The following is a 14202-nucleotide window of genomic DNA, read 5'->3' on the forward strand; positions in this document are numbered from 1 at the left end:
ATATAATTTCTGTTTTTCGTTTCTTGTCCTGCCATATTGCTTGGCAGGGTGACCCTGCCACAAGGATTAAGACCTTTACTCTGATTAACTGTTGGGGACAAACCAGTTACTACTTGGCATTCTGCTGTCATTCCTATGACTTTTTTAGCAATTGCACTGAAAAGACCAAGCTCTGCAATTTTCATTAAGATTAATCAAGAACAACTTTTGCAGATCATTAATAAACATTGCATATGACAGAGCCCAGTGTCAGCCCTGGCATCTTCTCAACGATCAGGACTCCCCAAAACAGACATAGAATATGTGAAGAGAAGCCACCTGGAGCCACTTTTCAATCTATGTAATAGAATCTATTATATAAACCTATTTTAATTAATTTAATTTTATGAACAGACATGCATGAGATGACATTAAGTGTTTCATTGGAAATAAAATTACATTCAATCTCTTTTTTGCCATTCATCTAGCTAATATCATGTTTCTAAAATTAAGTATTTTTGGTGGATTGAATTTACTATGAGGCTGTTTTGATTAGGGCTTATTATCTTGTTATTCTTAGATGTTTATTGACTGACATTTTCCTCTTTCAATATCAGTTCTGCTAAAGTATTAGAAATGTACCAATGTATGTAGGATCTCCTAAACTATATGTTGATCCTTTGGGTATTGATGGCAAATTTCAGGCATCAGTAGCAATTGCACAAATCTGGAGTTGGGAGGTGGGCTACCATGATGACTAAGATAGACGGCTTTGAAGTCAGATGATTCCAGAATTGGTCCCCTTGTGCTGCCACTGACTAGTCATGTGATCTAGGTGGAGGTAATTATACAACCTCTGTTAGCTTGTATGGCAGAGGCACCTGACAGCCATAACTGAAGCATACCCTGAGGGTGACCCTATGGTCTAAGAAGAGCGTTAGTTTGGAGTTCCAAGCTAAGGAATCTGAGAGTGGCCAACATGGAGATCCACTGCTTATCCATGAAGAACAGCCAAACCTCTGGCTCATTCCCCTGGCACACAGGCTGTAAGGGGACTGACGCCCTTTGCTTTGGATGAAATGGGGGTTGCTAGGTAGAGAGCACTAAGTAAAAATGCTGTATAAACAGCATACTTTTTACAAATGGTAGTTGTCTTCTTGTGCAGGGTGCCACCACTAGACCACCCCATATGTAATTTCCCCCTGTAAACCCTATGTCTTATTTGCTGTCTCTAGGTCTCATCTTCAGCCTGAGACACCGTACCATCCCTACTGGATGCAATAGGGGTCCAGCACTACACAGCTCCAATTTTCTCATTGGTAAAGTAGGAGCCCACTTCCAGACCTTCCATTAGTTAGGACAAACCTGTCTAGCTATATTGTTTGTTGTTTGCATCCATTCTCATTGTTGCTCTAAACTAGTCTGATTTGTCCATGCTGCAGACATACTTAGTTCTTCAGTATTTGGCCTATCACCCCGCCTATCTTCTAGAATTTTTATGAGGACTTAATGAGCCAATACATGCAAGACATTTATCTCAGTATCTGGGATATAGTTAGTGTTTAAGAAACTCAAGCGTCCGGGCACGGTGGCTCACACCTGTAATCCCAGCACTTTGGGAGGCTGAGACAGGTGGATCACAAGGTCAGGAGATAGAAACACAGTGAAACCCAGTCTCTACTAAAAATACAAAAAAAAAAAAAAAATTAGCTGGGCCTGGTGGCATGCGCCTGTAGTCCCAGCTACTGGGGAGGCTGAGGCAGGAGAATTGCTTGAATCCGGGAGGTGGGGGTTGCAATGAGCCAAGATCGCGCCACTGCACTCCAGCCCGGGTGAGCAGAGTGAGACTCTGTCTCAAAAACAAAACAAAAAACAAAACAAAACAAACAAAAAGAAACTCAAACTGCTATCATTATTTTATGGGCATAGAATAGAAGCCATGGTAAAACAATAGGTTTCTGTAACTCAACTGCATCAAATTTTCCAGGACCCAAACTCAGCCTCCCTTGCAATATTCTATTAAAAATATTTCCATAGTGATAACATGCATGCTACCTATTTGAATTTTCCTATTTGAAATTGGGATCTTATTATCCTCATTTTGCAGACGAGGCCATGGAGGCTATAAGTTAAGTCACCCACCCATCATTACAGACCTAATTACAGGAAGAGGCAGGAAACAGGGTAGGTCTGTTGCTGCCTGTCAAGGGCCCCCCAACCCATCCCACTCACTCAGCATATTTTCTATGTCACCTTACAGTACAATAGGCACTCTTTCAGGGAAGCTTTGTCACAATCACATCCAGCAATGAATTATAATTTTAATAAAATGGAATCCTGACTGGAATTCTTGGAGTAGTCAATTGAAAATTAGTTTAATGTCATGATAAATGTTTGGTTTAATTAAAATTTGTATGTCACATATTGTCTGTTGGGTGACTCTTGGAACTCAGCTTTGATGTGTTATCATCCCATCCTTTCTATTTCACAGCTGCTGCTCTATTTCAGATCCTTACTTCTCTCCCCTGGATTAGTATGAGAATATCCCCAAACCAGTTTCCTTCCCTTTGGCCTCTGCTCCTCCATTCCAGTGTCAAGGGGAGAGAGAGTTATCCCTCTCCACAGTCATCTTCCTGACATCCAGATCTGACCATGTCACTTCCCTACTTTAAGAGTCAGTGACTTTTCATTGCCTGAGGGATAAAGCCCCAGCGTATCGTACCCTAACCCTATTGTTTTAATTTAGAATTGTGGTAATCACCAAGGTCAGCTTCAATGCTTAACACACACACATGCACATACATACAAACACATATAAACACACACATATATACCACACAGGTACATACATTTACACTCATACATACATATGTACACACATACACTAATGCACACATACATGTGGCTTTTGCCATTCTTAACAGCTAGCATGACTCATTGTTCAAGCCTTTGTTTCCAGGAAAAAAAAAAAAACCTTTGGTTCTTGGTTTAAAAGGCTACTGTGCAAACAGCTCAGTAAAAGGCAAATGACAGGGAAAAAGGTTTCCCTCATACTCGTACTTTTGATTGACTTGACTCTTGCCCACTTTGCATTTAAAAAATATTTTTTATTTTATTTTTTGTACATTGACAGGTAAAATTGTATATATTTGTTGCATACCACACGAAGATTTGAAACATATATACATTGTGGAATCTAGCTAATTAACACATGTATTACCTCACAGTTATCATTTTTATGGTGAGAACACATGACATCCAGTCTCTTACCATTTTTCAAGAATAAAATATATTGTCAACTATAGTCACCAAGATGTATAATAGGTCTTTTGAATTTATTTCTCCTATCTAATTGAAATTTTGTATCTTTTGATTAACATCTCCTCAACCACACTCCAACCACCCCTAGACCCTGATAATCACCACCTCTACTTCTATGGGTTAGCTTCTATAGCTTCCACATAGGAGTGAGATCACGAGGTATTTATCTACCTGTGCTTAGCTTATATTTTTTAACATAATGTCCACGTTCATCTATATTATTGAAAATGCCAGGATTTCCTTCTTTATGGTGTAATAGTATTCCATTACATATATATATATATATATATACACACACCACATTTTTCTTTATCCATTTCATCCATTGATGGACATTCAGGTTGATTGCATATCTTGGCTATGGTAAATAATGCTGCAATAAACATGGGAATGCAGATATTTCTTCAACATACAGATTTCATTTCCTTTGCATAACTACTCAGTAGTGGAATTATTAGACATATGGTAGTTCTATTTTTTAAGTTTCTGAAGAACTGCCACTGTTTTAAATAATGACTGTATTAATTTACATTTCCACCGGCAGTGTTCAAAGTTTCCTTTCCACCACCTCCTGGTCAATACTTGTTATCTCTTGACTTTTTGATAGCAGCTATTCTAATAGGTGTGAAGTGATATCTCATTGTGGTTTTTATTTGCATTTCCCTGATGATTAGTGATGTTTAACTTTTTAAAAAATATACCTGTTGGCTTGTATACCTTCTTTTGAGAAATGTATATTCAGGTCCTTTGCCCATTTTAAAATCAGGTGATTGATTTTCTTGCTATTGAGTTGTTGGAATTTCTTATATATTTTGGATTTTAACCTTTCATCAGAAGTATAGTTTACAAGTATTTTCTCCCATTCTGTAGTTTAGGTTCACTATCTTAATCGTTTCTTTCGTTATGCAGAAAGTTTTTAGTTTTTCAGATAGTTTGCTGTTAATATATAGAAATGCTACTTATTTTTGTATGTGGATTTTATATCCTGCAACTTTACTAAATTTGTTTAATTCTAACCATTTTTTTTTTGGTGGAGTCTTTAGGGTTTTCTCTATATAAAATCATGTCATCTGCAAACAGAAACAATTTAACTTGTTCCTTTCCAATTTAGATGCCTTTTAATTCTTTCTCTTGTTTGACCGCTCTAGCTGGGACCTCCAGTACCTATATTGAATAGAAGTGGCAAGAGTGGACATCCCTGTCTTTTTTCAGATCTTAGAGGAAAAGATTGCAACTTTTTATTGTTTAAAAAATTTGTTTTAATGACAGGGCCTGCTCTGTTGCCCAGGCTGGTGTGCAGTGGCACAATCATAACTCACTGCAGCCTGAAACTCCTGGTCTCAAGGACTCCTCCCACCTCAGCCCTCTGAGTAGTTACGGGATTACCAGTGCCACTATGTCCAGCTTGGGGGAGGTCAATTTGAAGAACCAAAGCAGTCACCTGTGGCTGCCGAAGAGAATACAGTGGTGCTAACACAGCAACCTCAAATTCCTGGGCTCAAGTGATCTTCCCTCCTCAGCCTCCCAAGTAGCTAGGACTATAGGCATGTGCAACCACACCCACATAATTTTTAAATATTTTGTGGAAATGAGATCTTTCTATTATTGCTCAGGCTAGTCTCATACTCCTGACCTCAAGCTATCCTCCCACCTTGGCCTCACAATGTGTTGGGATTACAGGTGTGAGCTGCTGCACTTGGCCTAACTTTTTCTTATTGAGTATGATATTAGCCCTGGGTTTGTCATATACATGGCCTTTATTATTTTGAGGTACATTCTTTCTCTAATTAATTGAGAATTTTCATCATGAAAGGATGTTGGATTTTTTCAAATGCTTTTTCTGCATCTATTGAAATGATCATGTGGTTTTGTCCTTTATTCTGTCATTGTGATGTATCACAGTTATTGATCCATGTATGTTGAACCATCCATGCATCCTGGGATGAATCCTACTTGAGCATGGTGAATGATCCCTTTAATGTGCTGTTGAATTTGTTTTTCTAGAATTTTATTGCATATTTTTCTTTATCAGGAATAAAATCAGGAATATTTTTGTAATTAATCAGGAATATTCTGTAATTTTCTTTTTTCTAGTGTCTTTGTCTGGCTTTGGTCTCTGGATGATGCTAGCCTCATAAAATGAGGGTGGAAACAGTTTTCCCTCTTCAATTTTTTGGAAGAGTTTGAAAAGAATTGATATTCTTCTTTAAATTTTGATAGAATTCACAGTGAAACCATCAGGTCCTGGGCCTTTTTTTAGATGAGAGACTTTGTATTACTGACTCAATCTCCTTACTTGCTATTGGTCTATTAAGATTTTCTATTTCTTCATAATTCAGTTCTGGTAGATTGCATGCATCAAATGAATTTATTCATTTTATTTTATTTGTTTTTTTCTTAATTAGTCCAGCAATAGGTCTTTCAACTTTATCTTTTCAAAAAAAATCAACTCTTGGTTTTGTTTATTTTTTCTAGTCTATTTCTGTCCTGATTTTTATTATTTTCTTTCTTCTACTAACTTTGGACTTAGTTTGTTCTTGTTTTTCTAGTCCCTTGAGGTGCAATGTTAGGTTGTTTATTTGAGATCCTCTTTTTTGATGCAGGTGTTTATTATTGTAAACTTCCCTTATATAACTGCCTTTGCTGTATCCCATAAGTTTGTTGTTTTCCAATTTTGTCTCAAGAAATTTTAAAATTTTCCTTTAAGTTCCTTCATTGATCCATTGGTTGTCCAGGAGCATGTTGTTTAATTTCAATGTATTTGTGAATTTTGTGAAGTTCCTCCTGTTATTAATTTCTAGTGTTATACCCTTGTGGTCAGAAAATATACTTTATATGATTTGAATCTTCTTAAATTTGTTAAGATTTGTTTATGTCCTAACATATGAGCTATCCTCGAGAATCTTTCATGTGAAATTGAGAATAATGTATATTCTGCAGCTATTGAATGAAATGTTCTATATATGTCTATTAGGTCCACTTATTTGAGAGGATAGCTTAAGTCTGATGTTTCCTTATTGATTTCCTATGTGGATAATCTGTGTACTGCTGAAACTGGGATGTTGAAGTCCTCTACTATAGTTATAATATAGTATTATCTTTCCCTTCATATCTATTAATATTTGCCTTGTATTTTTAGGTACTTTGATGTTGGGTGCAGATAAATTTACAATGTTATATCCACTTGCTGAATCATCCCTTTATCATTACATAATGACTTTCTTTGTTCATTTTCATAGTTATTAATGTAAAGTGTATTTTATCTTGCATAAGTATAGGTATTCCTGCTTTCTTTTGTTTTTTATTTGCAGGTAATACCTTTTCTATCCTTCACTTTCAATCTATGTGTGTCCTACAGGTAAAGTGAGCCTTTGTAAGCAGCATATAGTTGAGTCTTGTTTTTCATCCATTAAGGCACTCTACATTTTTTGATTCTAGAATTTAATGCATTTACATTACATGTAGAGACTTGTTAATTGTTTTCTAGTTGTTTTGTAGATCTTGTGTTACTTCTTCCTTTCCTTTTGTCTTCCTCTGAGGTTAAGTGATTTTCACTAGTGTTATATTTGGATTCCTTCTTCTACATTTTTTTTTTTTTTGAGATGGAGTCTCGTTCTGTCACCCAGGCTGGAGTGCAGTGGCACAATCTCAGCTCACTGCAAGCTCCATATCCCAAGTTCACGCCATTCTCCTGCCTCAGCCTCTCAAGTAGCTGGGACTACAGGCACCTGCCACGAAGCCTGGCTAATTTTTTGTATTTTTGGTAGAGACAGGGTTTCACCGTGTTAACCAGGATGGTGTCGATCCCCTGACCTCACGATCCACCCACCTCAGCCTCCCAAAGTGCTGGGATTACAGGTGTGAGCCACCGCGCCCAGCCTCTTGCTTCTATTTTTTGTGTATTTACTATAGGTTTTTGCTTTGTGGTTACCATGAGGCTTACAAAAACATCTCATATTCATAACAGGTTATTTTAAGCTGATGGCAACTTAACTTTGGTCACACACACACACCCTACTGTATATTTTTAATCCACTTCTCTCCAGCATTTTCTATTTTTATATCAATATTTACATTTTAATATTGTATATTTCTTAACAAATTAATGTGGGTATTATCATTTGTAGTAGTTTTGTTTTTTTATCCTACATTACAAAGATATAAGTAATTTACATCTTTTTCCAAGTTTGAAAAGTTTTCTGCTACTATTTTTTAAAATAAGCTTTCTACCCTTTTATCTTTCTGTTCTCCTTCTAAAACCCACAGGACTTGAATATTTGCTCTTTTGGAGTTGTCCCATAAATCCTGTATTACTATAATATTAGAATATTCTGAATTTTACTTTGTACTTATTTTTACCAGTGAGTTGTACTTTCAAATGTTTTTATGATACTCATTAGCATCCTTTTCTTTCAGCTAGAACTTCCTTTAGCGTTTCTTATAAGACAAGTCTGGTGGTGATGAATTCCCTCAGCTTTTGTTTGTCTGGAAAAGTCTTAATCTCCCTTCATTTCTAAAGGACAGTTTTGCTAGGTATAGTATTTTTGTCTGGCAGGTTTCTCATTTCCCTTCAGCACTTTGAATATGTCTCCCACTTTCTCCTAGCCTGTAAGGTTTCTGCTGAGGATTCTGATGTTAACCATATTGGGACTCCTATATATGGTATTTGCTTCTTATTGTTGTTGTTGCTTTCAGGATCTTCTTTTTGTCTTTGATTTTAATAGTTTGATTATTATGTTTCTTTGGCTATTCTTATTTGGGTTGAATCTGATTGGAGATCTTTGACTTTCATGTACCTGGATATTTACACCTTTTTCCAAGTTTGGAATGTTTCCTGCTACTATTTGTTTAAATAAGCTTTCTACCCCTTTATCTTATTTTTCTCCTTCTAAAGCCCCCATGACTTGAATATTTGCTCTTTTGATGTTGTCCTATAAATCTTGTAAGCTTTCTTTATACTTCTTTATTCTTTTTTCTTCTTTGACTGTATATTTTCAAATAACCTGTGTTGGTGTTCACAATTTCTTTCTTCTGCCTGAGAAATTCTGCTGTTGATGTTCTCTATTGCAGTTTTCATTTTGGTTATTATATTTTTTGGCTCCAGATTTCTTTTTAAAAATTATTTTCAATCACTCCATTAAGTTTCTTGTTCTGGTCACTTATTATTTTCCTCATTTTATTAATTTTTTTTTGCATTTTCTTCATGTTTGCTGGGATTCCTTAAAATAGTTATTTTGAAATATTTGGCAGGTAGTTCACACATCTTCATTTCTTTAGGTTCAGTCACTGGTACCTTATTTTATCTCTTAGTGATGTCATATTTCCCTGATGATTTTTGACCTTCATCATTGTGCCTCAATCCCTGCTCAGTTGAATAAGTAAGTCCTTATTATAGTCTTCACAGACTGGATTTTCCTGGGAAAGCACTACGGCAGGTGTGGTACTGGGGCATGCCAGAAGCCTGGGGCAGCTGCAGCCAGAGTGACATTGCTAGAAACATGGTATCTACTACATGGGTATTACTTCTGGGTGGGCCAGAAGCCTAGGACCACTGAGGCTTTCCCATTGCTAAGGGATGTCCAGAGCCCAGGTCCACTAATGTCAACCTAATAGTGGTGTGTGCCTGAGATCAGACTGGCCAAGCAAGCCTGTAGCCTTGAGCTGTGTGGTCCTATCTGCCATCGGGGCGTGTGTAGAGGCTTAGTCTGTGGGTACCAGCCTGGTATATGGGATCATGAGGGTCTGCCTAGTGCTGGGTTTTACTGTGGCAGGCCCAGTGTTGGGGTCCAAGTCAAAGTCCTATGCCCACTTCCTTCTCTTTTCCCCAAATGGATGGTATATTTTTCTGCACTGTGCTGCTTGGGATGGGGGAAGGATGATATGGGTAATATAATATAAATTTGTCCTGCCTACTCCATTTAATGTGCCTTTTATTATTATTGTGCTACAGCTGAGTATTATGACATCTCACCTGATTTCCTTAGCTCTTTTGAAGCTATTTTCACATATGAATACTTGCTCAAATTGATGTTTCTGTTAGAGAATAATCACAAGAGAGTCCTATTTCATTAACTGGCTTTACTACTCCTCACCCTCTTTGAAACCTGCCAATGCACTAACTAGCAGTGGACGACCCTGGCCTTTCGTGATATTGGCACCCTATCCTACCCATATCTATGGTTGTAGAGGATTTCTATCACATGTTTGGAATGATCAGTGAGTAAGAGACTAGGGTCATTTTGAGTGTTGGTTTGCCATTTGCACAAAAATTATAGATCTCACCTAAACAAGGAAATTATTGGAGTTGTTAGGTACAGTGACTAAAAATCCAAATGCCATCTTACCAACAGAGCACTGGCCCCTTGTTGTCTTTCTGCACTCTGGGGATTGATGGTATCCTAACTTTGAGAAAATGCCAGAAATAGGGACAAGGAGAGCTGCTGAAAGGGAAAGACAAAACCTCAAACAGGGGTCCATTTCTGACAGCAAATAAAGAGGGTCAACACGAAATTTGGGGACACCAGTAAACAAATGTTATATTAACATATAACATTATGATATATGCAATATAATATTATGAACATTTCCAGTCTTTATGGCTTCTATCAAGTTTTCAAATTGGAACAAGCAACTTTGCAGCTGAATAAAAAATTCCATCTTGTGTAAGCAGTAATTGGTTAAGATTATTAACTTTTTGATAAAGCTATGTAACTGGCATTTTCTTCTAAACACATTAAGGTGCAAATATTGTTCACCAGCCATTCCTCAGAGTGAAATATTTGGCAGTAAGACTGGAAACTATAGAAGTCTGAGCCAATTGCAACCAAGGTTTATCTAATTCCAGGGCTCCTATTAATTCCTTTTTAGCATGCTTTCTTGCTAACTAGAATAATTAATACTGGACCTCATGTTACTTAGATTAGAATCAAGGAGTTGTTTGGATATCAACAGATTTTGATTCATACAGTTTGAAAAAGACTTTGAATCATTTCTCACTGTTCAATTTCAAAACTCCAGAAAGGAGATCTTAAATTCAATAAAATGATCAGGAAGAATAAGGTCCTCTCCAGAAAGAGAAATAATAATGCTCTAAGTATCTTAAAGTATTTGATTATAGATGCTCATTTATTTTCCAATGTTATCTCTGTAACATATCTTTTACTTAAGGCTAAGATACAAATCCTTATGGAAAGTCTGTAGAAAGTTTTGCTGCTTAAACTCTGATGTTTATGTGGCTATAAATCACAGATTTTCAGAACTGGTGGAGACTTCAAAGTTGTCTGATCTGATTTTTTCATTTTGTAGGCAATAAATTTAATTGTTCCCCTAAAGGACACCCATGTACAAAGACCTCCAGGTGACATGTTTATCACTGTATTTCTAGGGCTTAGCCCAGTTCCTGACACATAGTGGAGCTCAATAAACATTTGTTGATGGGTTTACTGATTGACAGAATAAGGCTCACACACCTAATTAGTTGTAGAGATCTCTGATCTTCTGGGTGTCAGTCTGTGTTAGTCTGTTCTTGCATTGCTATAAAGAACTACCTGAGACTGGGTAATTTATAAAGAAAAAAGGTTTAATTAACAAGTAGTTCCACGGGCTGTACAGGAAGCATGGCTGCGAGGCCACAGGAAACTTACAATCATGGCAGAAGGTAAAGGGGAAGCAGGCACATCTTACATAACAGAGAAGGAGGAAGAGAGCAAAGAAGGAGGTGCTACACACTTATAAACAACCAGCTCTCATGAGAACTCACTCACTATCATGACAACAGCAATGGGGAAATCCACCCCCATGATCCAATTACCTCCCATTAGGCCCCTCCTCCAACACTGAGGATTACAATTTGACATGAGATTTGGGTGGGAACACAAATCCGAACCATATCGCAGTCCCATTGTCCCCCTTTACACCAGTTAAAGTATTATTACAATTCATCCTAGTTTTCAGGGAAAAACTCTCAAGTGTCCAAATTAGCAGTTAAAAAACATCTGCAGCCTTTTCCATTAACCAAAACCCAAACAAAAGGGAACTCTGTGTTGGAACCCATAGATTCCTCTCTCCATAGTTCCTAAAGTGGAGTACTTCCGCATCTCTACAGAAGACAGGGAGATAGTAGAGAGGACATCTTGGGTCTCTTTATCTACCTACCTACTTGGTATTAGGGACAGTAAAGGGTTTGGTTTCCATCATACACTTCACAGAAAAGTACCATAAATTCTCATCCCACTTGTACATCTCCCGATTCCATTTTTTTGGCTTTATGGGAGACTTTCAGATAAATCCCTTAAATGAGGCATAAGGCCTCTGAAATTGTTACTCAAAATTTTTTCTTTCCATAGGATCAATGACATAAGAAGACTGTGACAACTGGATATTTTTCTTGAGATATGATAAAGCTCTACATGTGCCTTTCCAGAGGTAGGCTGCTGTCACTATGGACACATGCCTTCTGCTGATGGAAAGGTACTAAAAAGATTTTGGAAATTCCTAGTCTCTTTGCCCTGTGCTGGAATGGTAATCCAGCTGTCTTCGAAGAGGCTTGGATGCATGCAGAATTACTCTGGATCCACTTTGATCATCAAGCTGGCCAGCCCAGCCTAATGTAGTCTGGGGCGGTAGCCTAATGTAGGGCAGGAAAGCTTGGCCAGATAATGCTTAAAATTCTATTAAGAGATGGCGTAAAGGGAGAAAGAAGGTTTTTAGAGTGCTTTTGTCTCCTGCTCCTCAGATTCCTTCTCTTCTGAAAGAATAAAAATATGATGCTACCCAGACAAGGAAAGAATCCCAAATTTTGACGTTAAGACACCCAGAACCATGACCTCTGTGTCCCTCCTGACAGTCCACCTCCCTGTGCCTGGTCTGGTGAGTTCCTGCTGCTCCTTTTTGCAAGACAATGTGCTACAGCAACTGCACACCCTACTCAACTGTTTGCAGAAGACAGCAAAGGCCCTGCAGTTTACAGACAGCACTCCACTTGAAGACTGTTGAGTGACCATCTTTGCTACACAGCTTTCATTTAGAGGCTGTACGCCTATTGCCCACTGCCTTCTTTCAACCAAACGTGGTTTTTCCTCATGGTAGCTTCTGGGAGAATATGACGTTTGCTAGTTTGTTTCCTTTGTGAAAACTGGGTTGTCTGTGGAAATATCTTTTACTGCAGGTGGGAAAACTTCATGTGAAAAGTTCATATCTGTGAAGCTACATTTTGAGAAACTCTCTATTATACTGATTTTTCCATGGTATGCTCTGATTCCACCTTTAAAATCTCTCTAAAGACAGTGGTTTTCAAGGCTGGCTGTACCTTTGTCTCATGGAAGAAGCTTACAAACAGCCCATGGTCTTCCCTAGATCAATTAAGTCTGAGTTTTTGAGGGTGTTAGTCACCCAAGCACTGACATGTGTGTGTGTGTGTGTGTGTGTGTGTGTGTGTGTGTATTTCTGCCTATGCATCCTCTTGTTACTGCTTTTGCTGTGGCTTTGTGAGGACGTGACACTTAGAGGCTCTGCAACCAGTTTGGACCTCAAGGGGAGTGCTGACAATACTAAGATTCTGTCTGAAAGCCACACACAGCCTAGTTCCAGAGTCCTCAACCCCAATAATTCCTTCCCCCTTGATCCATCATCTGTTTGTCAGATATGCTGAATAAAACCAAAAGCACTTGCCACACATCCATGAAGCCAACCCTGGTGGCAGCCTTCTAGTAATTTCCTATTGGCCATAGGATAAAGTGCAACCTCTTAACATGACTGAGAAGGTCATATGGGCTCTGGCTGCTGCCAGCCTACAGTCCATCTGTCACTACTCTTTCCACCCCAGGCTTCACAGTAGCCATTGCAGCACATCCTGGTTTCTGTACATGTCCATCCTCTCTTGAAAACTCTCCCCTCCACTTCCAAGATCCTGTCAATGTCCACCCACCTTTCAGTCAACAGCTTAGACATTTCTATTCCGGAAAGCCTTCCCCAACATCCTACGTTGAATTAACTTCCTCCTCTATTTTCCCCAAGCACTTGGATTTGATTTATCACAAAGCTTATTGTTCTGCATTGAAATTTTTTATTCATTCATTCATTCTTTCATTCATCTCTCTCTCTGCACTGTAACATCCCTGAAGGTAAGGACTATGCTCATCTTGTTCCTTGCTGCATCTCCACAAGGGCATTTGTAATACAAACTTGTAGCACAAATAATTAAAAGTGAGGTAAACTTAGAAAACAATGATGCTAACAGGTTCATTGGTTTATATGGGAGAACTAAGGGGCACACAGTTTTTGTGAAATAAGTCAAAAGGTTCTGCCTTTCACCATACATATGATTTACCACAAAGGGTAGGTGAAGTGGCCTGTGATCGTGCACATTGAAGACCCAGGTAACATGATGGGGATCACAAATTACCTGATGGTTTTGATCATGCTGAGACCCATTTCAACACAGCAGTGGGCATGGTCCTGGCGGGGCTCAGGAAGTCCAGACACGCAGTAGTAGCAGTCCCCCAGGATTTTAATACGAAGGCAGTGATGCTCCTGGAAGGAACAGGATAAGAGGGAAAGGTCTATGTCAGCAGAAGGATCAGTTCTTCAGAAAGGCTTGAGAAAGAGGCGAGCAGGGTTAGGTGGTCTGCAACTTGGGGTAAGGAGAACCTACCTTTGAAATATACTTCTACCTGTCTTTCTAAAATATTTGAGGTGTAACCTAAATGGGGGTTTGAAGGACCCAGAGGTGGAATGGAATCATAAAGAAATTAGGTTTTGAGCTCAAAAGCTACATGGTTATATCCAAGCTTTGCTATATACTAGCTCTATGGTCTGCACACCTGTCACTTGGTCAGGCCTGACAGAGTGCTCATAGTATCTCCTACAAATTCAGCCCCAAGCAATGTCTCTCTTCTCAAAAAC

The 14202-nt window shown here is 38.4% G+C and overlaps 1 protein-coding gene across 5 annotated transcripts in view; it reads right to left on the reverse strand.

The window, feature by feature from the left end:
* ADCY8 (adenylate cyclase 8) overlaps window positions 1–14202 on the reverse strand; it is a 260609-nt gene that overhangs the window by 143070 nt on the left and 103337 nt on the right. For all 5 annotated transcript variants that reach the window (XM_017013006.2, XM_006716501.4, XM_005250769.4 and 2 more), the window contains exon 5: window positions 13703–13830. In XM_017013006.2, the coding sequence (XP_016868495.1) occupies window positions 13703–13830 (128 nt within the window). The remainder of the gene's footprint in view (window positions 1–13702; window positions 13831–14202) is intronic.

Source organism: Homo sapiens, chromosome 8 (assembly GCF_000001405.40).
Source record: "Homo sapiens chromosome 8, GRCh38.p14 Primary Assembly".
Lineage (NCBI taxonomy): Eukaryota > Metazoa > Chordata > Mammalia > Primates > Hominidae > Homo > Homo sapiens.